This window comes from Homo sapiens, chromosome 11 (assembly GCF_000001405.40).
Source record: "Homo sapiens chromosome 11, GRCh38.p14 Primary Assembly".
Lineage (NCBI taxonomy): Eukaryota > Metazoa > Chordata > Mammalia > Primates > Hominidae > Homo > Homo sapiens.
Genome location: NC_000011.10, coordinates 12,500,788 through 12,527,417, shown reverse-complemented (window position 1 = coordinate 12,527,417; position 26,630 = coordinate 12,500,788). Strand labels below are relative to the sequence as shown.

The 26,630-nt window shown below is 46.9% G+C and overlaps 1 protein-coding gene across 2 annotated transcripts in view; it reads right to left on the bottom strand.

The window, feature by feature from the left end:
* The window catches only part of PARVA (parvin alpha), a 158,921-nt gene that overhangs the window by 7,939 nt on the left and 124,352 nt on the right, over positions 1-26,630 (bottom strand). For both annotated transcript variants that reach the window (XM_005253015.4, NM_018222.5), the window contains exons 6-12: positions 22,989-23,104; positions 18,776-18,834; positions 15,885-15,904; positions 14,058-14,119; positions 13,353-13,421; positions 9,707-9,808; positions 8,901-8,973 (exon numbers count right to left, since the gene is read on the bottom strand). In XM_005253015.4, coding sequence (XP_005253072.1) covers positions 8,901-8,973; positions 9,707-9,808; positions 13,353-13,421; positions 14,058-14,119; positions 15,885-15,904; positions 18,776-18,834; positions 22,989-23,104 — 501 coding nt within the window. The remainder of the gene's footprint in view (positions 1-8,900; positions 8,974-9,706; positions 9,809-13,352; positions 13,422-14,057; positions 14,120-15,884; positions 15,905-18,775; positions 18,835-22,988; positions 23,105-26,630) is intronic.

The window sequence follows — 26,630 nt, the reverse complement described above, 5'->3', positions numbered from 1 at the left end:
TTCCGATTAAGAATACAGCATGGCAGAAGGGTTTGAGGTGCTAAAACTTCAGCTGGAGGTTCCTCAGCTTCTATGCTACCATTCCCTCTCTCGCTCACTTCCTCCCTCCCTCCCTCCTTTCCTCTGATCCTCCCATCCTCCTTCCCTCCCTCTATTCCTCCCTTCTTCCGTGCCCCCGGATCTTCCCATCCTCCCTCTTTGCCTTCCTTCCTTTGCAATAGGAGCTTTCCAGGTACAGAAGTGGGCAAAGAATTCCATGTGGAAAGTTTAGTGTATCTTACTAAACCCAGCTATGCTGGAGAATTCCCAATAGGCCAGCATGGCTAGAGAGGTTGGGGTGTATGGGGCTGGATCCCGAAAGGCCTTGAATTCCAAGTTACAGAGCTTGCATGATTTTGTAGGCTAGAGGCTGGAAACTGGCAGCTGGCAGGCTAGCTATGACTCACTGACACACTGTGCTTAGCCCTTCCTCCCTTCATCCATCTATTTACTGGTCACCACCTTCTCTGGCTGTTCCTCTAACCCTCTGCTGGCTCCTCTACCTTCCTCCCTCCCCCAACAAGACCCCCTCTCTGCTCTTGTCCCTCTGCTGTCACTCTCCTAGAAAGCCAACCTTTGAAGAGTGGGAGAAGAGAAAACAAACAAAAAAATGGAACTCCGTCTACTATTGAGGAATGCATACTTAGGTAATAAAATTATAAAGAAAAGCAAAAACAAGGCAAAACCTTGATGACTGGACTCAGAATAGTGGTTACCTTTAGGGAGAAGGGAGAGGTTATGTTCAAAAAGGATGCAGGGCAAGTTGAAGGGAGCTCTTGGGAGCCGGCATTACTTTTTTCTTTGTCCTGGGTGGTGGCTGCGTGCTGGCTCGCTTGGTAAAAGTTCACTAACCTGTACATTTATGTTTCATGCACCTTTCTGTATATGTGATATTTTTCACAATAAAAATGATTAAAAAACAACTGTATGGGAGGTCAGATGAAGTAGGTGATTAAGAGAAGGTAATAAATGCCCTGGGATTCAAAGATGGGAGAAATTACACCAAGCCACTGGGAAAGAAGGGGTGGGGGAAGGTGTCAGGATTCTAGCAATGCTCTGGTCAATACCCACAGGGATCCTTCAAGAGTAGGCAGAGTGGGGAGCCAGGGGCTCCCAGGTCTTAGCCTTGGGACTTTTAAAAAAAAAGATTTTATTTTTTATTTCAATAGCTTTTGGGGTACAGTGGTTTTCTGTTACATGAATGAATTATATAGCAGTGAATTCTGAGATTTTAGTGTGCCCATCACCCAAGTACTGCACATTGTACCTAACATGTATTAGTTCCTTTATCCCTGTGCCCGCTCCTGCCTGTGCCATTCTCAGTCTCTAAAGTCCGTTATATCACTCTGTATTTAGCCTTGGGATTCTTGCAACTGGAACTGCCACAGCCTGGCATGCTCAGGCCCCAAGCTCCAGGCCTAGGGCCCAGGGCTTGGGGGAACCTCCTTAGGTTCCCCCCACCCCAAGGCCCCTCCTGCCTGCTCCCTCCAGGCCTTATCCTGGTTATAGACCAACCCTGCTCCACCCTGGCTGGGCCCAAGGTCTCCTACTGATAGACCAGGGGCTTCCAGAGACCCATGGAGAGGCCTGGAGTGGCCTGGAGCTCCCAGATTCTGTTTCTGCTCCCATGGTGCTTCATCACATATCTGAGCCTCTAACTGGGGCCCTGGCCTGAGGCTGAGTCCTGCTACCTTGCCTTGCTAATGCTGAGCCAGGAGTCCCACCCTGAATCACCTTCTGCCAGATGGAATCCCATGCCCTCTAGGCCAATTCCTGTCCTCCCCTGACTGCTTGGTGTTGAGTGTTTCTTAAATTCTACTCAAGTCAAATACCAGGAAGTTACTCCAGGGAGGAACTGCTAGAAAGGCAGAGAGGGGCAAAGGTGAGCTTGCCAAGGGAGTTGGGTGTAAAGGGGAAGGTAAAGTGGGCCTGGAGCTCCTGCAACAGGCTCCTAATAAGCTCCCCTTACCCTTTCCAAACCATTCTACCTACTGGAGCCAGACTATGATAGGCCTCCAGGCATGGCTGTGCAGGATGTACACTGCACAACTCCAAGGCACATCATTCACACTTCCAGGGCACCACTGTCATGGACTGCAAGGTAAACAGGGCCTCTTGGAGCTGTGTAGCTCACAGCTTGTATGGCCATACAACTATTTCCCTTAGAAGGTCCAAAATCCTAAATTGTGGCTTTGTAAGGCGTAACCTGACCCGACCTGCCTACCTTCCCACTCTCATTTGGTACCACACTGCCTCCCTCACTATGTATCACAGTCACTGTGGCTTCCTTTCACTACCCTCCCCATGGGCCATGCTTGGCCTCCGCCTATGCTGTTACAACATCTAGATCACTCTTCCCAAATAGCTGGCTCTAGGTCCTCCTGCAGACCTCAGCTCAAAGCACAGGCTCCTGGAGGGAGGCCTTCCTGACCCCCGCCTGGGCGCAGGGGTCCTGTTTTATGTTCTCAAAACTCCCACATGCTTCCTTCATAGTACTCACTCCAGGTGTAAATCAGTGACTTGTATGCTTATTGATTAACATCTGCCTCTGTCCTGGACTGTAGGTTCCTTGAACACAGAGAGCATGGACCCTCCAAGGATATTAACAGATCCATGAATGAATGGTTGCCCACCGTCTTGGAAGCCAAGGAAAAAAATTCCAGAGAGGGTGGACAAGAGGGCCACGCGCTCCCAAGAGGGCGAGGAGGTTAAGGACTGAAAAGAGTTCCCAGGGAACATAGGCCCAGCAGGTGACTTGGGAGAGAGCAAGGCCAAGAGCAGGTGGAGGTAAAATGTTAATAACAGCACGGGCAGATCAGAAGTGGAGGCATGAGCACGGGTCGCAAAGGAGGAATTTGGGGGCCTGGTGAAGGACAGATACTGATAGAGGCAGGGGGATTTGTTTTCCCTTTTGAAAGGTGGGTGAGTTCTGAGGTTGCTAGAAAAAGAAAATGTCCAATATGGGAGAATGTTTTAAACTGGCCATTTTAATGGTTACTAAGTGACATTTTTATGTTCACAGAAGTTTGAAGTCCATCTCCACTACAGCTGTGTGACCCTGGCAGTCACTTAAATTCTCTGAATCAGTTTTCTCACTGGTAAAATTGGGCAATACCTTTATGAAAAACACCCAGAATATATTAAGGGTCCCCTAAATGGTAGTTTTCTTTCTGTTTTCCCATCTTTGCCCATTAGCAGAGCTGCTATGTATAGCCGTGCAGTCTGTGCACTGCACAATGCCTGCATCATTCACGTGGACTAAGCCCTGCTCCTTGGAAAACTGAGTTGCTTCTTCACCACCTTCACCACTAACGCCAACAGATGGGCCGGGTGAATAGGGGAGACAGCAGTCAGAGACACTGCCTATCACTTATCACCTGTTCTTATCAAGAAAGCCAAGACCTGGGCCCCCAGGTAGTCCCAGGCAGACTAGTAGGCCAAAAGGAGACTGGACTATCTCAGCCAGGAGAAGGGCTGTGGATTCCTGGGAATATATTGTAACTTCATGCTGTATAAACAGAGCCACGTCAAAGCCCTGTTCTCATAAATTGTGTGATTAGCAACTCAGTTCAGTTCTGATAGCCTCTGTGTGCTGGCCCAGGGCCCCTCTCTGGAGGCAGACAGCCAGGACTATGGGGCTTCTGGTCAGATACACCAGAACAGAGGCTGTCTGACAGCCTGGGGCCAAGGAAGAGGTGGCTCTAGAGATAAAACAGCTTCTGGCCAAGGGGAAAGGGCTCATTGTTTGCTCCTCCCCCCCAGAGGTATTAGTGACTCTTTCTATCAGGAGAGGACCATCGAAAATGAGTTCATGAATCTCTAAAGGATGCAGAGGCCAAAGGAAAGAGAGGAACTCTCTTCCCAGCAGAAACTGTCTTTGCACAAAGGGACAAGGCCCTCTGTGGCCATTTGTGACACCACAGTTTCCTTCATCCCAAGGCACTGCTGAAGGCCCTTCTCCGAAGCCTTCCCCCACGGTCTCTGAACCCCTTGACCAAGGTGGGAGGCCCCTGCTGGCTCAGGGCTGGCAGCTGGTGGGGGCTGGAATCAGTTAGGTGGCCACTAGGTGGTTACTTATGCTCTAGCCCCCAGCCGACCTCCCTGCGCCTCTATCTCATCCTGTCTCGCATCTCTACCTGCTCTCTATTCCCCACCGGGGCAGGATCCATGCTGTACAGATGCTCCTTTTCGTGGTGACCTACTGCCCTATCTGGTGGTGAGTTTGCCATTTGCTTTATTTATTTTTAAAAACTTTTAAGTCATTAAAAATTTTTTTTAAATATGACATACATCCAGAAAAAAACCCATGCAACATATATGTACTGTTTTAAATATTTGAAAATGAACTCCTGCCCGTCAAAAATAGAACATTGTCAGTATCCTAGAAGCATCCCCTCCCCCTTCTACATTCCCTCTCTCATTCCCCAAATATAACCACTGTGCTGACACTTATGATTACTTCCTTGCTTTTCTTACCAGTCCTAGCATCAACATACGTGCCCTTGAACAGTAGCTTCAAATGTTGCCTCTTTTTGTATTTCACAGGATTCATCTATGTTGTTACATGAGCTGTCTGTTTTTTTTTTTTTAACAGTTTTACTGAGGTATAGCTATAATTATCCAACTATAATTCTATAATTGTTCAAGGATAAAGCTTCTTGGCCGGGCAGGGTGGCTCACGCCTGTAATCCCAGCACTTTGGGAAGCCGAGGCAGGCGGATCACCTGAGATCAGGAGTTCAAGACCAGCCTGGCCAACATGGTGAAACCCCGTCTCTACTAAAAATACAAAAATTAGCTGGGTGTGGTGGTGGCAGCCTGTAATCCCAGCTACTTGGGAGGCTGAGGCAGGAGAATCTCTTGAACCTGGGAGGGGAAGGTTCCAGTGAGCCGAGACCACGCCATTGCACTCCAGCCTGGAGAGCGAAACTCCGTCTCAAGAAAAAAAAAAAAAAAAAGAATAAAGCTCTTGATTTGTTGTCTACCTCTGGTAGGTTTTCAGTGCTTCAAAATCATTGTTTTGATGATTTTTGTCCAGTTTTACACTTGCTTTTTTGCAGAGAATAGTCACTGATCTCTTCAGGCTACAGTAACTAGAAGTTCCTGCCCTGACTTCTCAGTTCAGTCTTTTTTATTGTCATGGTTGTATTATAATCCATGATATGAATATGCTTCAATTTATGTAGCTAGTCTACTGGGATGTACACTCCAGCCTATGCTATCATGGGTATTCTTGGGCTTGTCTCCTGGTGTATGGACATACGTACCTATGAATGGAATTGCTAAGTCAAGGAGTGTGCTAACTTCCTATTACTGCTGTAGTAAATTAGCACACATTTGGTGGCCTAAAAACAACATAAATGTATTATCTCTGAATTCTAGAAATCAAAAGCCCCAAATCCATCTCACTGAGATAAAATCACGGTGTCAGCACAGCTGCATTTTTTTCTGGAGGCTCGAAATGGAGATCGTTACACTTGTTCTTTCCAAGTGGGGGATGGAATAAGTTAGGTGGCCATAAGGCAGTTAGTTACTCATGTTCTAACCCTCTGGGGTTGCCTGCATTCTCTGGCTCATAGACCTCTTCCATCCCCAAAGCCAGCAATGGTTGGGTGAGCCTTTCTTATGCTACATCACCCTCACACTCCTGCCTCCCACTTCGACTTATAATAAGGACCCCTGTGATGACATTGGGACCACCTAGATAATGTCATCATCTCAAGACCCTAAATTTAATCACATCTGCAAAGTCCCTTTTGCCATGTAAGATAACACATGAACAGGTACCGAGGATTAGGACCTGGACGTTTTTGGCCAGGGGTGGAGACCACATTATTTTGGCAGGGGGTGTCTACCACATTATTTTATAGCGTATTACAAATCTTCAACTATGTTAGATGAGAACAAACTGTTTTCTACTTTCGGCTAAATAGGGACTGAATAAAAATAAAATGGTTCTAGCAATTTAGAACACCAGCAGTTTCTGTTGCTCTACATCCTTGCTAACACTTGGTATGATTAGAGTTTTAAATGTTTGTCACCATTGGCTTCTGTACACTATCTCCTAGGGGAATGGGGGAGTTGAACATTTTCCATGTTATCAGCCACTGACCAAGTCTTCCCCAAATGAAGTGATCACCTGGAACTAAGCTGCCATAACCTGCTTGGTTTTTCAGCATTGCTTGCCATCTGGTCCCAGGTATGAGACTCCTTAAATTTTAGATATTTAGTCCTACAGACTTCAATCCTGCCTGGTACTAGATGTCTTCTGAGTCCCTGCCTGCCTGTTATTCTGGAGTCTTAACCATAATTGATGATGAGTCTACTTGAAAGGTGATAACAGGGTGGACATGTGCATTTGAAGACATGTGGCACGATGCCCTAAATAAAAAGCTGCCAGCTGCATGACAATATTTCTTTTTCTTTCCTTTTTTCCTTTCTTTGAGACAGGGTCTCACTTTGTTGCCCAGGCTGGAGTGCAGTGGTGCAACTTCCGCCTCCCAGGCTCAAGCGATCCCTTCCACCTCAGCCTCCCGAGGAGCTGGGACCACAGGCATGCACCACTACACCTGGCTAATTTTTTTGTATTTTTTGTACAGGTGGGGTCTCACTATGTTGCCCAGGCTGGTCTCAAACTCCTGAGCTCAAGCCGTCTGCCCACCTTGGCCTCCCAAAGTGTTGGGATTACAGGTGTGAGCTTCCATGCCTGGCCATTATTTCGACTGCTCCACTGGTTAGGAACTTGATGCTAACCCTTGGCTTACACTAACTCAGGCACTAAACGGTCATGAAGCCTGGGCAGCAAGTCATCTCAGATACAAACCCAGTTTCTAGGGGATTTCAAGGCACAACAGAGCTTTGAGTGTTAAACAGCACAGCAGAGAATGCATTTTCCTGACCTTAAAAACATGTTGCCATGAAAAATGCCTCCACCACAACCAGTTTGATTTTGAAATGCCCTCAAAGAATTACCCACATTGGCACCCTTTGAAATGTCTGCATCATTTACTTCCAAATCTCACTTTCCAGGTAGAAGCATAAAAACCAGACGGAATGCTGGGATTCACTTCTTTCAAAGTACAATTTCATAAAATGCTATTTCCATTCCCCTTTACGTACTGGAAATTTGCAGCATGGGCATAATGCCCTGTGTCATAACAAATAAAACACGTGTTTTTCCATCCACATCAGTCTGTTAGTTTCACATTCAGCAACTTAATAATTGCATAAAAATATCACCTATATTCCAAAATATTCCCATAGATTGATTTATATTGGGAAAATTATCTGTCCCAAGGGAAAGAAATATCCCAATTCTAAAATAGCAGAAGTACTTCCAATCTGTAACCAGGAAGTTTCATATTAAGTGGTTGAAGAAAGTGGAAGCAAAATGATGGTCGGAACTTTCTCACTGTGTCTGTCCTCCCAGAAGCAGGGTGCTCATCATCTGCCCACAGAACAAGAAGAGTCCATTCCTAATGGCATTAGGAAGGCTGGAGTGGCCTTGCCAAAGAGAGAGCCCCAGGGGGACACCAGCCTTGCTAGAGGTCCTCCCCCAGGTCTCAGTTGACCAGGGGCTTAGGACAAGGTGGTAATAAATGAGAACAGGAGTTGACCTTTGTTGGCTAGAGTCAATAGATAACGAGTCTGGAAGGAGTCATGAGACAGGGTCCCCATTCTTCCCCGGGGGGACTTTTGCTCATGCTGTCATTCTGTCTGGCATGCACACACTTCTCTCCCAGTCTCCATACACCAAAGCCCTACCTGGTCCTTATGGTTGAGCCCCACTGTCTCCATCAAACTGTTCCTCCCCCAAGACAGAAGTGGTATCACCTCCTCAGTCCTCACAGACTCTTCCTTGTACCTCTTTCGTAACAGTTCCCATGACTGTCATTTCATTTTGCTAACTGGCTCCAACTTTTCTCTTCCCTGGTTGGCTACACGTGCCTTGAGGTTCAGGAAGGTCTTACCCCTCTTGTTATATCATGGTCTACAGGGTCTCAAGCCCACTAGACCAGGGCATGGCCCCCACTAGGTGGGGGTTTGGATAGAGGAGCTCAGAGCAGAGGCAGGAAGGGGGCATGAGAGCCCACCATTCCTACTCATCCACTTGCCTATAAACTACCAGAAAAGTGCGAGCAAAAGGGCCACAGATGGCATTCTCAGTGTTCCCAGGGGACATATGCAGGAGATTATCTGCAACACAGTGGTGACCTGCCAGCTCTGGTGAAATGGAATACTTCAGTCAGTAAGGGGCAGAAAGCAATCATCCGTACCAAGACTACTAAGAGAAGCGTGCCTCCTCTGCTCACGAATGCACGTGTGCACTCCTAGCAGGAGTATGCAGGGGCTGCAGAAGCACTTGTCCCTTCTGCATTTCCCCTCAGACTTATATTTACAACCCAAACCCCACAAATCATGGCCTGTCCTCAGACAGAGTCTGAGCAGGCAGAGCTCCGCATCTGTAAGGAGAGAAGCAGTTTTGCTCAGCCCAGAACTGTCTGCGCTGCACCTTCACCCCGACTGGCGGGGACACAGCTCTTTGGCAGGTCAGCACCCTGTGCAGGGACAGGAAAACCTGGAAATTGGGCACAGGGCAGTTCCTGCAGCAGCAGTTCTGCTCGGTCCCTGATCCCCGCGATCCCACGCATGGCATGTGTGGGATTTCAGATTCTTTTCTTCCCCTGGCTGTGCAGCTGGCAGCTCACAAAGGGTCTCTGGGACTGAGCAGCTGCACCGAGTCCCACCTTCCCCAGCAACGAAGGCTTCAGAAAATGCTTCCCTCTGCTACAAAATCTGAGTACTCATGTGCAGGGAGAGGGTCTCACTCTGTTGTCACAAACCCAGGAAAGAGCAAAGTACCTTCTGGCCGCGGTTTTGGCTTTTCCAACCCTCCATCTTGCATGAGCTCAAAGGCAAAGGAGACATTCAAGACCTGGCAAGAGAGATGCAGACAGCATGTACCATTGCACACCCAGGAGCCCCAGGACCTGGCCCTGGGAAGTGAAGGAGCCCAGCACTGTAGCCAGAGGGACAGAGGCTGAACTAATTTCAAGGAGAAATATGGCTACCAAAATGGGCAGGCCACCTGGAGCGTGAGCTAGCTGATCCTAGCTTGCTGTTGGGAGAAGCACTCCTGGAGAAGCACAAAACTCCCTTCATATCCTACTGTGTTCCTGTGTAAACTGCCAGGACTTCAAATTGGGGGTGTCAGTGCACACGTCTGGAAGAATCAGATGGCAGGACATGTTCAACAGGCAGAGCAGGCTTTCTGGTCAAATGCCTTTGTGTAGCGAGCAGGATGTGGCAGCCTACGAGAGGCCATCAGAACCAGGCTAAGCATGAGCCTCAGGGCTGACCAGCTTCACAGTCACTTTCCTTGTCATCTCTGGGGAGAGAGGAGGCTGGGCTGGGGCACTTGACAGGGACACAGGGCAGGGGACCCGGGCCAGGCTTCAGGGCAAGGGAAAGGCAGTCAGGGATGCCCAGTGGTCTGCAGGTAGCTCCTTCCCAGCTCAGCTCTTATAATGGGTCCCACCTCCAGGCACTGAAGACGTTGAGCAGAGGGGAAGCTTCTGCCTTTTTTCTGGATAGCCCCAGCATGGGTGTGGGCACATGAGTCAGGGGATGTGGGCTAGGGGGCCTCCCTTGATGTCCCTTCTCCTTACCTTCTGTTCAAAGCTGTCCGGGGTCAGGAAGAAGCTGTGCAGGGGCACAAAGTAGCCCTCCAGGAGCCCCATGAGCAGCACCAGGTACACCCCATCTGCAAACTGGAGGAAGAGCCAGGTGATGGCACTGGCCCCTGAGCCTCCCAGCCAATCCCCATCCAGGGGGCCCATCAACTTCTGTGCTATGCCACCTGAAGCCTACCACCCCAGCCAGGCTGCTAGCTCGGGGGTAGGGGCAGTGGCCCGAGACAAGGAGGTCTGCTCTGCCCCACGTCTGGCTGGCACAGGAGCCACAAGCCCAGGCCCTGATCTCAGCTGACCCAGCATTTACTGAACAGAGGCTGTGTACCAACTCCTGGTCTAGGCATGGGGACCAGAGCATGGTGGGGGGTGGGGGGTGGGGGGTGGTCAGTGTGGCTCCTGCCCTGGAGGAGTACACAGTCTAATAGGGAAACTGGTGTGGGGGCAAGGCACAGCTGCTCTGATGGAAGGAAGCTCGCTGGCCTGAGTGAGGTTGAGAAAGGTCGCCCACAAGCACTGAAGGCATCAGAGGAGTCTTCTGGAGGGGACAGAGCCTGAGTGGAGAGCTGAGGATGAGCAGGATTGGCTAGAGTGGGACAGAGGGAGGAGGGGGAGGTGATGTCCAAGGTGAATGGCATGAGGTTCCTGGGGAGATCTGTGCTTTCTGAACAGAGAAAGGACTAGTGTCACACAGGGCTGGGCATTCTTTCTCCCATCTCTCTTCAGTATTACAGCAGCAGAGTGCAGCTGTTATGAATGTGGGCTCTGGGGCCAGGCCTCCCAGGTGCAAATTCCAGCTCTCTCACCTACTAGCTATATGCCTTGGGCAAGTTATGTCACTTCTCTGTACTCATATGTCTTATCTGTAAAACAGGGATGGTAATAGAATAGTATCTATGTCACAGAGTTATCGTGAGGACTAAGCCAGTTAAATATGCAGAGAGGGCCTGTAAACTGCTAGGCATGTAGCATTGAATAAATATTAAATGTTGCTATTACTGTCTGGGAAAACAACAAAGCAATCAGGACATGACTTACTTGCTCTTGCTGGCAAAAGCAGAACTATGTGCTGAGGGCCCTGGCAGGAGGCTTGCAGCCCGGTCCCTTCCTAGGCAGAAGAGGCCAGATGGGTTGGGAAACCAGGCCCAAGGGACAGGAGAGTCCCTCAGCTAAGTGCGGAGGCTGCTGGTCTTCTGCTTAGGGCTGGGTGAAGTGAGCATACACTGAGGGCTCAGGACAGGCTTGTGGAGGCCGGGGATGATGGACCTTGGGAGGAGTAGGGGGTTCCAGGTAGGGGGGATGGCCTAGCAAAGACATAGAGGTCAGATGCACATCCGACATTCTAGAACCCTTTCAAAGGAGGCTGGGCCACCAAATGTTTATGAGTGTATATAGCTGCTGGGGTTTAGAGAAGGCCACATTTCTTGGAATCACCTTAGGAGCCCAGAGTCTGCTCAGAGAGCTTTCCAGGTAGCCAGCTAGCCGGCCTGCGGCTCAGCCGTCATTAAGGGCACAAGACCCTGAGCTTGCGCTTGCCTTAAAGGCAGCTTCTGGCCGAGTGCGGTGGCTCATGCCTGTAATCGCAGCACTTTGGGAGGCTGAGGCAGGCGGATCGCTTGAGCTCAGGAGTTCCAGACTGGCCTGGGCAACATGGTGAAACCCTGTCTGTACTAAAAATACAAAAAAATTAACCGGGTATGTTGGTGCATGCCTGTAGTCCCAGCTGCTCAGGAGACTGGGGTGGGAGGATCACCTGAGCCTGGGAAGTTGAGGATGCAGTAAGCCGTGATCGTGCCACTGCACTCTAGCCTGCATGACAGGAGTAAGACCCTGTCTCAAAAACAAAAGGGTAGCTCCTCCCAGCTTCTATCCATCAGGCCTGCAACTCAGGTGGGAACGGCCTGAGCATGACTCACCCTAGGTGGACACGGGAGAGCAGACCCCAGAGTCTGTCAAAATCAAGGCCCTTCTGGTGGGAGCTGAGCAACTGGGCTTCATTCAAGCTGTGGTGAGAAGGAGTTAGGAGTAAAAGAATCCAATCTGTGAGCTCAGGGGTGACCTTGGGTTAGGGTTGGGGTCATTCACAGCTCTGAGTGCCAGGCTTAGACTGCTCCTCACCTCCCATGGCTGGTTCCACTGACTTGGTAGGAATAGTAGATAAAACTGTAGAGACCCAAAGTGCTTGGCAGTGACCCCTGTCATAGCACTCCCTGCCCTTGAAAACGGAGCTGATCATTCCAGGGCCCATTCTAGCTCACTCAAGGAAGCGTCACTTTTCCAGAACATTCCTTATTTCCTACAAGAGTACATGAAGCTCATTTCACACAGTCTAGACACACTCAGGTGGAGCTCAGCGACAGGCTGGCATTTGTCTTTAAAATAAAAGGAGGTACCCAGATGACTGAAAGAGAAGTATAAGGCAGAAGCTCACCAAGAATGAAAGGAGGTGGGGAAACAGGATTCATCAGGCTCAAAATATCTCCCCAATAAAGATTAGTTAAGTATAAAGAGAGGAAAAATAACTTTATAATAGGGAAATCCGGTGAACACCATCCTAACCAAATAATCCAAGTTATCACTAGCAGTGGGACTAATGGACAGAGTGCCTCCTCCTGGGATGCCCCGGGAAGAACACAGCCTTACTTGGGACGTGCTGTTAATGAAAATGCATGACCTGAATCTAATATGTGCAGAAAAGACAGTCTATAAACCAACTGGCCTGAACACTTCAAAAAGTGTCAGTGCCACAACAAGAAAGGCCGAGGAGTTGTTCTACGTTAAAAAGAGACTAAAGAGACATGACAAGTAAATGCAGCATGTGAGCAAACTGGACAACTGGCAAAATCTGAACAGAGTGTTTTTTCTAACCACATGATGTTGCCATTTTAGTAGGTTAAGAACAGTCAGCTGGGTGCGGTGGCTCATGCCTATAGTCCCAGCACTTTGGGAGGCCAAGGTGGGTGGATCACCTGAGGTCTGAGTTTGAGACCAGCCTGACCAACATGGTGAAACCCCGTCTCTACTAAATACAAAAAATTAGCCGGGCTTGGTGGCGCATGCCTGTAATCCCAGCTACCTGGCAGGCTGAGGCAGGAGAATCGCTTGAACCTGGGAGGCAGAGGTTGCAGTGAGCCGAGATCTTGCCACTGCACTCCAGCCTGGGCAACAAGAGTGAAACTCTATCTCAAAAAACAAAACAAAACAGAAAACAAAAACAGTCGAATGTCAGCAATTTCATATGATTCAATCTAAACAGATTAATGTATTATGTTAAAACTGCCTGCCTTTGATAATTGTGTTGTGGTTACCTAAGAGAATGTGCTTGTTCTTGAGAGACATATGCTCAAGCATTTAGGGGTGCAGAGAAAGAGAGAGAGGTGTGGCCAAATATTAACAATCGGTGCATCCCAGTGAAGGGTATATGAGTATTCATTCTTGTAATTTTCATAATAAAAAGTTGGAAAAAATCCACAGAGACTCAGTCCACCCCTCAGAGTAGGACAGATTCCCATGCCCTCATCCCCCTCAGCTGGGAAAGCCCTCCTGGCCAAGTGTGGTGGGCCACTTGGAACAGGGGCTGTAGGGCAGGGCCCTGCCTCTACCTGTGCTGGGGTCTGTCACCCACCTGGGTTTCCAGTTCTGTGACCTCCAGGTTCAGTTTATTCAGGTGCTTGTTCACGAAAGTGATGAGTGTCTAAAAGAGAAGCAAAGCAGGCCCTAAGCTGGGGACTCGCACTAGTGCAGGAGCCTGTGGCTGCTCCGTGACTCCCGTGAGGGCAAGGGTGAGGGTGAAAGCAGAGGATCAGGCCCAGCCAAGAGCCCTGGGCCCAGGAGCTCTCTCTGCAAAGGCCATTGAGTGCACAGGGAGGGCCACAGGCTCGACTTTGCAGTCCCATACAACTCAGGGCGTGTAAGGAACAAGGAGGTCCCAAGAGGCAGAATGATAGGTGGAGTGTCTGAGCCAGTGTCTGGGTGGGGGAACTGAAATAAAATGATTCCACTGGATCTCTCCTTCCTGTCCCTTCTTCGGCACAGGTGCCTAGGCCAGGGAGACAGGGAATTCTGTGAGGAGTGGGGAAGGCTGAGATTGCTGGGGTTAGCCTGGGTGGGAAGACAGGCTGTTCATGCTGATGGAGGGGAAAAGGCCCAGGTGCAACATCCAGTGAGGAACAGACAGGTACATGGATGGCAAGGGGGAAAGCCCTGTGTGTGCAGAGGTTAGGTGATGCCACCAGTTCTGGCAGGAAGCTCGCAAGCTGCAGGGATGGGTTTTCCCAATGTTCTGTTGCATCTCGCTTCCCTCTGTCCATCCCAGGCACCCCTTTCCCACCTTTTTCACCACATTCAGCTTGTCTGGGGCATGGTCGAACAAGGTGTCAAAGGCATCACGTTCTGAAAAAGAGGGAAACACAATGTGGAGCACAAGAGCTGATCCCTGGCAGGGAAGCCCACCTTGGGTCCCAGAGCCACGCGCCTCTCAAGGTCACAAGGTCAACTACCGATGGGAAGCCTCTGGGGTATAGACTGTGCCGGGAACTCTGGAATGTGATTTGGGGCTAAGATTTGGGGTGATTCTCACCCTGGGAGCCTGTGTCTGTGTCCGTGCATGTGTACATTATTGGATTGGGGCAGGCTCAGGGCTCTTTTAGGTAGTGTGACCCGGGATTAGTCATTTCCCTTCATTGTATTCCATTATATCCTAACGTAGCTATTGTTCAGGTGTTTCTGAACCTCTGTAGAGGGAGAATGTTATCCAAATATTAAATAATTTCACCCCCCAATTTTCAAAAACAGGAGACCCATGACAAACAAGCTGGCAGAGGGCACAGAGAAGAGGGCTGGGAGCCAGGGAGCTCCAGGATGGGATATGAGCTCTTCCTCTTAAGTGATCTAGGCCACTTCAACTCTTTGTGCCTTAGTTTCCTCTTCTATAAAATGTCATTTTAAAAATAACCCTCCCTCAGGTTTGTCATGAGGATGAAGTGTGAGAACAAGCATGTGCGTGCTCTGTAAACTCTGACATGTTCTCCTGAAGTGAATAATTTTTAGCATGATTGAAATATTTCAAAATATTACCCACAGTAAATATCAGGATCATAGAAAATAGCAAAGCCATGCTCCCTGCAGGGATTCTCCTTGCTGCAGCCTCCGTGTTCTCAGAACTGAGAGGTGACACAGTGGAAGGGATCTGACTCAGGAAAGGAGAAGGGTCTCCAAGGTGAACCTGGGGCTGGGAGGGTGCGAGGCCCTGAGGCCTGCCTTTTCCAACTCTGGCACCAGTGGGTAAATCTGAGACTACCAGGAAGGGGATGGTGATCCCTAACATTCATGGACTTCATAAACAAACAAACCCAGTCGTGATAAATGGAAGAGATAAGAGCTGTGATGAGGGAAGAAAGAGAAGACAGTCTCTAGAAGGACAGAGTGGGGACAGGGGACAGTCCTTGTGTTCATGCATGTCTTCCTTTATTTCCACGAGACAATTAGAGCAGAACTGCCCTGAAAATGCCCAGGACCCATCCAGACACCTCGGGCAAGCTAATGAATCTTTCTGGGCTACAGGTCTCTCATCTCTAAAATGAGGATAATTACAGTAAATATTTCAGTGGGATGTTATGAGCATTAGATGATTTAATACCTAGAAATATTTTAGCATACTTCCTAGGACATAGTAAATGCTCAAAACGTTTTTTTCTGAGGACACTTTTGGTTCTTTTTGATTGTTGTTTATCCATCTGCACACCTATCACCCACTAAATAAGCACTTGCAAGTAGTGCACTGGCAAGAATAATAAACTCGGAGTTAAGTGCTGGATAAACCAAGATCATAATCTCCTCCTTCACCCTTGGGCTGTGGGGTCCCAGGGGGTGTAATCGTGGCTTCATGTGTTTACTGTGAACATCAATAGCTACAAAAGTGCTTTGTAAATGGCAAGGTCAATGATGGCCTGATAACTTTCAAGACAACTGTGCAGGTGTAGGTAGTCTTCTTCCCGCCAGTAAGCTGTCCCTCCCAACCCAATTGGCCATGTCACCCAGGCTGGTGAAGACGTATATCCAGGTGACAAGCTGAGAGCCTGTTCCTCCCAGCTGCTGCGGAATTAACTAAAGCCCCAGTGCAGCCACCAGTGCCAGAGGACAATCTTATGTGACTTACCATGCCTCCCGGAAAGAGCCCTGGAGGAAAAAGAGAAAGAAAATAGTGTGACTCTTCTCTTGTCCCTTATAAGAGGCCAGTCCTCTGAAAGGACACTCCATCACTGCTGGAAGCCCACCCCATGCTGCCTGCCACCCACCTGCCCTTGGTTGAGGAGCTCAAAAAGCCTCCTTCCATTGGCATTTTATTCTGCACGGCCTCCAATTATTGAGACTTTACCACATTACCACCCATTTTCCCCCCAGTTACACCCATATAGTGGTGTAATGCAAAGCCTGGCATAGTGATGCCTAAAGGATCACTTTTTGCCTTAAATAAAGTCATATTATTGCCTGCAGTTAAAGAATATTGGACTCAGGGGCTGAAGATTTCCAACCAGAAAATCTTAGAATTCTTACGAGTGAGCTCAAGCAACCCCTCAATGCAGAATTTTACTGCCTAGGTTGCTGTGGGCAGGTCAGCTTTGTCTCTCTCCTGTCCACCCTGTAGTACCCACCAAGATGTACCTGCCATTGACCCAGGGTAGGTTTTCTCAAAGAGTGCAGGAACTGGAACCACACTCATAGCAGAGAAGCAGCATAGTATCAAGAGCACAAGCTTTAAAGACACATCATTGAGGTTTAAATTGCACTGAGTGATTTTTTTGCTGTGTGACTGATATGGTTTGGCTGTGTCCCTCCCCAAATCTCAACTTGAACTGTATCTCCCAGAATTCCTACGTGTTGTGGGAGGGACCCAGGGGGAGGTAATTGAATCATGGGGACTGGTCTTTCCCATACTATTCTCATGATAATGAATAATTCTCATGAGATCCCATGGGTTTATCAGGATTTCCTCTTTTGCTTCTTCCTCATTTTCTCTGCCACCACCATGTAAGAAGAGCCTTTTGCCTCCTGCCATGATTCTGAGGCCTCCCCGGCCATGTGGAACTGTAAGTCCAGTTAAACCATTTTTCACCATTTTTCATTCCCAGTTTTGGGTATGTCTTTATCAGAAGTGTGGAAAAAAAACTCATACAGTGACTTTGGGCAAGCTAATGAACCTTTCTGGGCACCAGGTCTCTCATCTCTAAAATGAAGATAATTATGGTAAATACTTAAATCAGATGTTGTGATTATTAAATGATTTAATATCTAGAAATATTTTAGCATAATTCCTAGTATGTAGTAAATGCTCAAAACACTTTTTTCCAAATACACTTTTGGTTCTCATAATGATTATTATATTGGTTTATCCATCAGCACACCTGTCACCCACTAAGTGAGCACTTGCAAGTAGTGCACTGGAAAGAATAATGAACTTGGAGTTAAGTGCTGGATAAACCAAGGGCACAGTCTCCTTCCTCACCCTTGGGCTGTGGGGTTTTAGGGGGTGTAATCATGGCTTCATGTGTTTACTATCAATATCAATAGATAGGAAAGTGTCCCATAAATTGTACTGTGTTGTCATTATTAGGACATTGCATCCATGTTTATGTCTTTGTGGCAGAGAGAGGGACCATAGAAAGCATAACATGCATCCGAGAGATTGTTCAATAATCTGAAACTTCACACTCCCTGGTTTGGGAGTTTCTCCCAGGCCATGCTCCTCTCTGCTCTGTCGTCTTCTTTCCCAGAGGTGAAATAGTGGGCACAGGCAAGCCCAGCATAGGGGAGGGGTGGTGGGCGGTGGGACAGTGAGGAATTCTCCTTTCCCAACAGGCCTGGCTCCTCCCATCCCTCACAGAACCAAGGCCAAGGTGTGCCCTATAGATCAGTTGACCCTTCAGCTACCAAGACTGGCCTCTGAGGTGATACAGAGGCTGCTTGATGGGGTCTCTATAGGCCATAAACAGGGCATCTTGGGAAAGGCCACTTTACATCTCTGGCCCCTAGTCTCGGCCTGGAATGCCCACGCCCCTTAGTCCTTGTTAAGCCATGTACACAATGTGATCTAGACGGGCAGTGCCCCAGACTCCTGTCAGTCATGGCTGGGCAGAGGGCAGGAACCTCCTAGAGACTGGATGGGCTTGGCAGGTACGGGTCAGCTGTGCTGGAGAAAAGATGGAACAGCAGCTACAGAGGGCAAGGGAACGAAGTCACAGCTGTGACCACAGTAAATCTTTCCTACCTCTCTGGGTGGGGCAACTGAGGTCAGAGAGGTTAAGGGACTCACCTGGTGAGTAAGTGGCAGAGCCTGTATTTGAACTCAAGTTGGGTTGGCTTAGCAGCCTCTGCTCTTTGCACTATGCTGCTCTTGTTCAAGGGGGACTCAGAGAAAAGTCTGGGGAGCAGGGAATGCTGAAAGCTAACTGCCTGACTTTGCATGGGGCCAGGGTGCAGTTCTCGGGATCACAAACTCACCCCACACTATGAATTTTTTTTCTGCTTGAGGAGAAAACTCCTGTTCCCCATGGCAAAATTTTGATAGGTTCTGATATCCCAATTTCTAAAAATAAATGAAAAAAAAAAAAAAAAAACCACCCCAAACCAAAAGACAAATCTAAGGTAGAGAGGCTTTCTGGGTCATGGCACATGCCCAAATCAGATTCAGAAAAGGAAGAAAAACGTCCTTTTGAAGGTTAACAATTTAAATTCAACCCAGTGTTTATGGCATGACGATTTCATGCTGGGTTGGCTTTTTTTGGGCACACTTTTTCCTGGAGTGGCACAAAATTAGAAGTTTTCAATCACTGCTAATTCCGTCTCCCTACTTCCCCACCCAAGTTTGTACCTTAAGCATTGAGAGGCATGTTTTGAATGCATGGAAAAGGCTAAACTATAATCATTGGCTGAAGTCTAATCCCTCCTGCAATCCCAATAAATGAAAACTAAATATCAGCAAATGGATGAATTTCAGAGAAACATCTGTGTTCCATTACAGAATCGCTGGCAACAATGGTGTTGACATACTCTGTGTTACCAGTTATTTCCTCTTGGATTTGCCGAGACTGGAGGATTCCTTCTCGTTTCTGAAATGGGGGTGGGGAAAGGGGTTGGGAGGAGAAGAGAAAACTATGCTTTAGAAAAATACAGAAACACTGATGAGCATTCCTGATAATGAGAAAGTTACTGGTGTTTAAGAAATGCACCCAAGATAAGATAATGCTGGAAGTGAAAGGAGGTCCTGATTTTCAGGGACTGGACTGAACCATTAGGACGCAAGTGCAATTAGTGTTTAGTCCAAACAAGTAGGCTGTTTCTTGGATGGTGAATCTTTCCTTTCTTTATTGGAAGACATGCTGCTGGAAGCAAACTGTTTGCCTCCTGGAGTAATCCACAATAAACCAAATGGAAATGAAGGCCAGGGTGTGTCTGCCCTCCAGCTGGGGCCACAGAGGGAAGCTGAGAAACACATTTAACTGGGGGGCTGGGTGGAGGAACTGAGGCCAACTAGGAATTCAGACAAGAGGCAGAGGGTTTTTTTTTTTGGTTTTTTTTTTTTTTTTTTTTTTTAACTGATAAATATGGGAGCTTTTAAATAAGTAGTAAGTCCTCACTCAGGTAACTAGCTTATTCTCTGAGAAAAGGTTAAGCATGTTAGAAACTCGTCCGTCCGTCCGTCCATCCATCCATCCATCCATCTGTCCACACTTCTCCCATCAACTTATCCTCTTTCTTGTTTATTTCATTAATCAGTGCCCTCTATGTACAAGGCCCTGTGCTGGAGTTAGAACAAATACTATGGAGTATATGATATAGTTTCTGCCCTTGAGGAGCTAAAGTCAATCGGGATAGAAGAAGTAGACACCTGAGAATGGTTTCCCCAAAACAGTCCTGGTTTATCCCTGATGTCCCAGCATATTAGTAAGATTCCCTTTCATCTCAAAAGTGTTATGAATAATAGATTACGTGGTCACCCTCGGCAGAAAGTGCTGAATGCAGGCCAGGAGCAAGCACTTTTAGCTAGAATGGTCAGAGAAACCTTCCAAGGGGAGGGGGCCCTGGAGCTGGACACTGAGAAGGGGTTATTTCAATGGGAGGAATGGCCCCAGCCAAGAGGCAGAGGCAGGACGCACAAATGTGTTCCAGAGGCCATCCAGGGGAGGGCAGCTGCCATCAGTCAGGGGGCAGCTCTGAGTGCCAGTTTGGAGGGTTTAAAAAGCACTGTGTGGGCATGGGAGCTGACGAAGGAGGTAATGTTGGGGTGCAGGAAGACTTTCTGATGGGTGTGAGGAGGGAGATTCATTCTACTACGTCCCTCCACCACCAGCACCAGACACCTGGAGGATGCTGTGACATAGCAAGCGATTGACCAAGCAAATGCATCTTCCCCAAGGCTGAGATGAGCGTGAAGAAGGAAGGAGCCTCTGAACTTGGGTGGCTCATCTGAGCCCTGCCTTCTCGAGCCTCCTGCCCAAAGTTCCACAGAACCCAGAGTCCTTGCAAAATACTTTTACAGAAGAAAGGAAGAACTGGATAAGACCAAGAGTCTATCTGGCTTAGATTAAGAATGGACTAATCAAAACAAAAAAGGAGGTAAAAGAAAAAAAAAAATCTATCATTTAAAGAGGACCAGGTGAAGATAAATCAGGACTTCTTTCCACATGCAGTTTCAACACAGGCTGTGTTTTCATGTGGGGTTAATGGAATCTGTGTCCTTGTCCTGCATGGCCATTCATAGACGTAAAACCTCATCTCCAACTTTCTGCAAAATTAAATGCTTCTGCATAGAATGGAAAAGAAATCTGGGTTCAATAACCCCTCACACAGCATCCTGATTCACCTCCACCCATTATTTGTTCCCTAAAGAGTTCTCCCTGTGGTTCAGTCTGTGACTCACCACCAATTCTGAGTCTTGCTTCTGTGCCTGTTCAACTTGATAAAGCAAAAACACCCCATAAAACCTGATGTGCATTAATGCCATTTTATGGAACATGTCCTCTTTTCTCCCTCATGCTAACAAAACAGCCTACAGGAGAAATTAAACTGACAACAGGCTTCTGATGGCCTATAATTGAGCTCAAAATAAGGCAGGAGACACAGGCTTGCAATGACCACTGTTTCAAAATAGAAGCCCCCTCTCTCCTGCTCACATTTTCAGTCATCATTCAGTCTGTAGTAATTCCAGCAGGCAGATTTTATTATTTCTGTTAGAGGGCTGTTTATTCTAGCTGATAAGAAAAGTCTTAAGATGTTCAACAAATTCATGCACAAAGAACTGGACTGGATTTGTCACAAAAGAGAAGATAAAGAAGGGCAATTTACATAAAAGTATTTATCTCCTCTAGTGATAAGAGAGCTATTATAAATGAATATAACAGCAGTATGTTTACTTATGAAAATAATTTTTAAAAATTTCAATGTTAGTGATATGTGGTCACTTTTAAAGTACTCTTTCATGAACTGTTTCAGGAACCATGATTAAAAAAAAACAGACTATATTTTCCAGAGCAGTCTGAGGTTCACAGCAAAATTGAGAGGAAGGTACAGACATTTCCAGAGATTTCCTATATATTCCCTGCCCTGACACATACTTGTCCTCACCCACTTTCAATATCCTACACCAGAATGATACACTTTTAACAACCGATGAGCTTATAATTGATACTGTCACTATCACCCAAAGTCTATAACTGACATTAGGGTTCACTCTTGGTGCTGTCCATTCTATGGATTTTGACAAATGTATAGTGACATGTACCTAAAAATCCTCTGTGCTCCCACCTATGGGGACGATGTCCACCTATTCATCTCTGCCTCCCTAATTGTAGTTTTTAAAAACATAAAGAATTGCATTCACACATCATTGATTGGTAAAAATAACATGACAGAGATGACCTGGACTCACTAGGAAGATGCTTGAACCAGAGTAGTCTGAGTTGGCCACATATCCATAGCAGACATAAAATGCTTAGTGCCATGTTTGAGACAAGTGAAGAGCTCAATAACGAGGACATTTAGGACCTTTTGGCCAGTGGCACTCGGTATCTGAGCCACACACATTCCCATTTCCTATGAGCCCTCTCTGCTTCTTACTTGTAGTCCTATCTCCTCAGCAGGCAGGGCCGAGGTGTCATATTCCTGTTATACCTTCTTAATGCTTAGTGGAGTTAAGTACCCAGAGGTGTGGAATAAATAGTTTTTCACTGGGGGACAACTGATCAGTTGATTAGGAGGACCATTTCCTTGTCTCCTCCTGTTGACAGCTGATCCTTGGAAGTTCAACTCAAAGTCCTTTTGTCTTGGAAACTGGCCTGGTCTGACAGGGCAAAGTCTACCAGCCCTCAAGGCTTTTTCTTATCAAGGGATGGCAGAGCCACTGTTATCATTCCCTATTCCAGAGCCTGGATCGCCAGGGAGCTGCTTAGATGGAGAGCTCTCCTTTGCTGCATGTTTATTTGGAAAAGAACAGGAACAAGCAAACAAAAGGATGACCTTTTGCTAAATGGGTATAAAGTTGGAAAATAAAATTGAATTTGGGTATTTAATGGGGTTAGGAGCGGAGTGAGATAGTCACAGGGAGAGAGCACACCCTCATTGTGGAAATTACACAGCCATATGTGAATGGAAATTCCATCCAACAATCTGGAAAAGATGACTTGAGATCCCAGCTGTGCTTCTGTGAGTGGGTGAACAGTGGCAGTACCTTCACTACAGACATGGCCAGTTGGGGTCTCTCTCAAACACATGCACATGTACACACACATTCCCTTATATGCACAGATATCGTTCTCCCCATACCTAAGTATCATTTGTTTAACCAAAATATTATGGTTCTCCATGGTTTGCAGGGCACCTGTACACTCCTGTACACAAACTCACACACACACACACACACCCACATACCTTTCCTCCTGACCCCATGACACACAGCTCACATACATACCGCACACCCTCATCTACACATTACACAGAAAACTCAGACAAAAACACATAAACCATAGGCACATACCCCACACAAAGCTATCTATACACAAGCACACGCTCTTCCATCTTGTGTACACTTACCAGGGGAAGCCAACATGCAACAGAAAGCTCATTCAGTGCCTCCCAATATACTGCACACCCAGGCTCACTCAACATTCATGCAGCCATCCTTCTAATGACCTACTCGACGCACCATAGGAACTCGACCTCCACGACTCTTTAAAGACACAGATGTTTGTAGTGTTACCTGTCTTACCTGGACCACAACCACTTGGATGGAAACATGGTCTGGGAGTCGAATTGGTGCGCGGAAATACTGAGACAGAGCAACGAGCAGGTGTAAGATGGCCACCAGGCTCTTGGCATGAACAGCTGAAATGAAAGAAGATTGAAAAATTACAGCATCTTCTTCCAGGTTCTAGGCAATATAAGCAGATGTTCAAAGTGTAGTAGTACCCCACTGATAGAGTTTGGATATTTGTCCCTGCCCAAATCTCATGCTGAAATGTAATCCCCGGTGTTGGAGGTGGGGCCTGGTGGGAGGTATTTGGATTGTGGGGGTGGATCCCTCATGAATGGCTTAGTGCCATTCCCTTGGTGATAAGTACACTCGAGCTCTCACATGTGATCTGGTGGTTGAAAAGTATATGGCACCTTCCTGCAGCCCACTCTCTCTCTTGCTCCTGCTTTTGTCATATGAAGTGCCTGTTCCCACTTTGCCTCCTGCCATGAGTAAAAGGTCCCTGAGGCCTCCCTGGAAGCCAGGCAGATGCCGGCCAGTTTAAACCTCTTTTATTTATAAATTACCCAGCCTCAAGCCTTTCTTAATGGCTATGCATGAACAGCCTAATATATCCACCCAATGTCCCTTTATACCATGCCTGAGGGTCAGGGGACACCTGTGGTCATCACAGGCCTCACTCTGGGCCCCCTCAAATCTTTCTTTTTTTTTGAAGCAGGGTCTTGCTCTGTTGCTCAGGCTGGAGTGCAGTGGTACAATCCTAGCTCACTGCAGCCTCGAACTCCTAGGCTCAAGCAATCCTCCCGCCTTGGCCTCTGTGGAGTAGCTGGGACTACAGGGATGTGCCACCATGCCTGGCCCCCTCAGTTCTTTGCCAGGTCCCATGGGGCTCCTTCTTGGGTCATATTATTGCCAGATTTCCAATGTGGCACCTCTCTAATCCCAGGTTCCCATGAGGATCCTGACAACTGCTGAGCTCTGAGCTCAGATCAGCTCTCTCCCGGTCCCATGTCCCTGCCCACTCCACTCCAATCACCATAAGCATGTCTGCTCTGCACTCCCTCTCCCTTCCCACTTAACCATGAACTCTGGATTATCACTACTACCCTTGTCTCAAGACTGCACATAAAGCACGCCCTTAATAAATAAACATTGAGTCAGGAACACTAGGTCTCTTCCTTGGTTCAGGGCTTTAAGATCCCTGGAAGAAGCCATGAGAGAGACATTCAAAGGGCTATGTTACTTGGCTTGAGTGTCACTATGGTCACTGTAGGCAATGCCCTTTAAGGAGCAGCTGGGACGGGATGTTACTGAGCCAGGGGGCTGCCAAAGCTGCTGAGTCATGTGCTCAAAGTCAAGCCATTTACACCAGAGAAGGCAGGGTCACACTGGGTTGTAGTTTTCTCACTAGATGAGGAGAAAAAGACTCAGTGAGGTGCACAGAGGGTCAGGCAGACTGGAGCCTGAATTCTAACTTTATAATCTACCACTTATTTACTGGCTACATGGCCTTGGGTAGGGTAGGCCACCGAAGGCCTCTGAGCCTTAATTTGCTCATCTTTACAAATGGAGGTAACAGAACCTATGTGGATGTACAGGTTGTAAAGATTCCCCAAAAGCCTTCATTAAAAAAAAAAAATGAAAATAGTTACACTAGAGTGGATAGTCTTAATTTTTTTCCTATTTCAAAATATTCTTTAGAATAAAAATCTGCCATCTTTTCAATTAAAACAAATTCTAGCCACTGTTGAACATTTGTGTGCCCCTATCATTCCTGCCTCTCGACATGTCTCCTGGGAGTTTTCTCTCTGATGCTCCTGGAACACAACAGGTGGCCAGGAATGGCTGATTTTTTTTTTTTATTATACCTTATGTGAAATTACCTGGCACCTAGGCAACTAAAACATGCCAGCTTTATTCCCTTTCTTTCTCATCAAAGGGAAGATTCATCAGATATTTTGCCTGCCTTCACAGTCCTACCAGCTTCACGGCTCTTCATTACAGGGGGCATTTAAGGGAATAACAAAAAAAAAATGCCTATTTTGTGTACTTCGCATGCACTAGGCCCATTATTAGGATGTCATTCTGTCTTCCCTGGGATCAGTGAGTCTGATTTAGCAGAAGCTTTGAGAAATCACTAAGAAAAGAGAATGATTCAGACATTCCTTTGTAACTCATTAGGGTTTCTGGTTATCACTGCTACTTCAAAGAAGGTTTTCTACTGATTATGAACAGCAGCTCACCATCACCACAAACAGAAGCTGAACTGCTCTGAACTCCTAGCCTTCCAGAAGGTTTCAATTTTGGGCTTTCGGGCCTTGTTAACTAAGTTTTACCCAGACTTACAGCCTCAAAAAAAGATCCTGATGTGGCACTGACCCACTGTGACCCACTGACATGGTGTGGTCACCATCAGAGGCAAATCCAGGTTTGCTCTTCTCATCAGAACTACCGGCCCACCACCTGGCGTCACTGAGGGTTGTAAGAACATTTGCTACCCCTCTCCCCTTTAATGGCAAAATATAATGCTAGAAAAGTTGTGATCAAGTAAGTTGTTCTTATACCCTGGTGACATTGTACACCATCTCCATTGTCTTAGTGAGCAATGCAGAGCTATACCATAAGCATCATATAGATGTCAGACTCATTCAATGAATGCTCTATCCTCCTGGGATTTTTTTTAGAAAGAAATAGTCTATAGTCTCACACACATACATACTACGCTACGTGTACAAAGATGTTACTGTGTAATATACTATGATGTTTTAAAACCCTGGAAAACACTATGTCCAATAACAAGAGGATGGTTTAGATCAGCATTTTTCAAACTTTTAAATATGAAGCACAGAAATCCTTTGTTCTAAAAGTTGATAGTTAAAACTGATGAAAAAAGTACAACTGCTCCGCTTAAAGTGAGGATTCTGGAGTCCTAACTGCAGCCTACCCATGACTTCTTGTCTTCTCCTTGGTGATGCTAGAGTTTCTCCTTGCAAATCCCTAGTTTTGGACCAACCATAGTTGAATAACCACTGCTTTAAGAAGTTATGGTATATACACATAATGAATAGTTTGCATGCATTGAAAATCATAGTTAAGATAGTATAGCTATATATATGTGTATATGTGTATATATCTATATACACATGTGTATATGTGTGTAATATACATAGCTATAAATATACATTTATGGATATATGCATACATAAAAGCATATACATATGTATGTATATCTACATATACACACACAAACATGTGCTTGTGGCCAACATTTGGAAAGGAATATATTAAAACAAATGAAAATAGTTATGCTAGAGTGGAAAGATTGTTTTTTTTTTTTTGAGATGGATTTTTGCTCGTCGCCCAGGTTGGAGTGCAATGACTAGATCTCGTCTCACTGCAAACACCTCCTCCTGGGTTCAAGTGATTCTCCTGACTCAGCCTCCCAAGTAGCTGGGATTATAGGTGCATGCCACCATACCTGGCAATTTTTGTGCTTTTAGTAAAGAGGGAGTTTCACCATGTTGGCCAGGCTGGTATCAAACTCCTGACCTCAGGTGATCCACCCACCTTGGCCTCCCAAAGTGCTGGGATTACAGGTGTGGGCCACCGTGCCCCGCCAGATAGGTTTTTTTTCCCCCTTTTTTTCTTTTTTCTGAG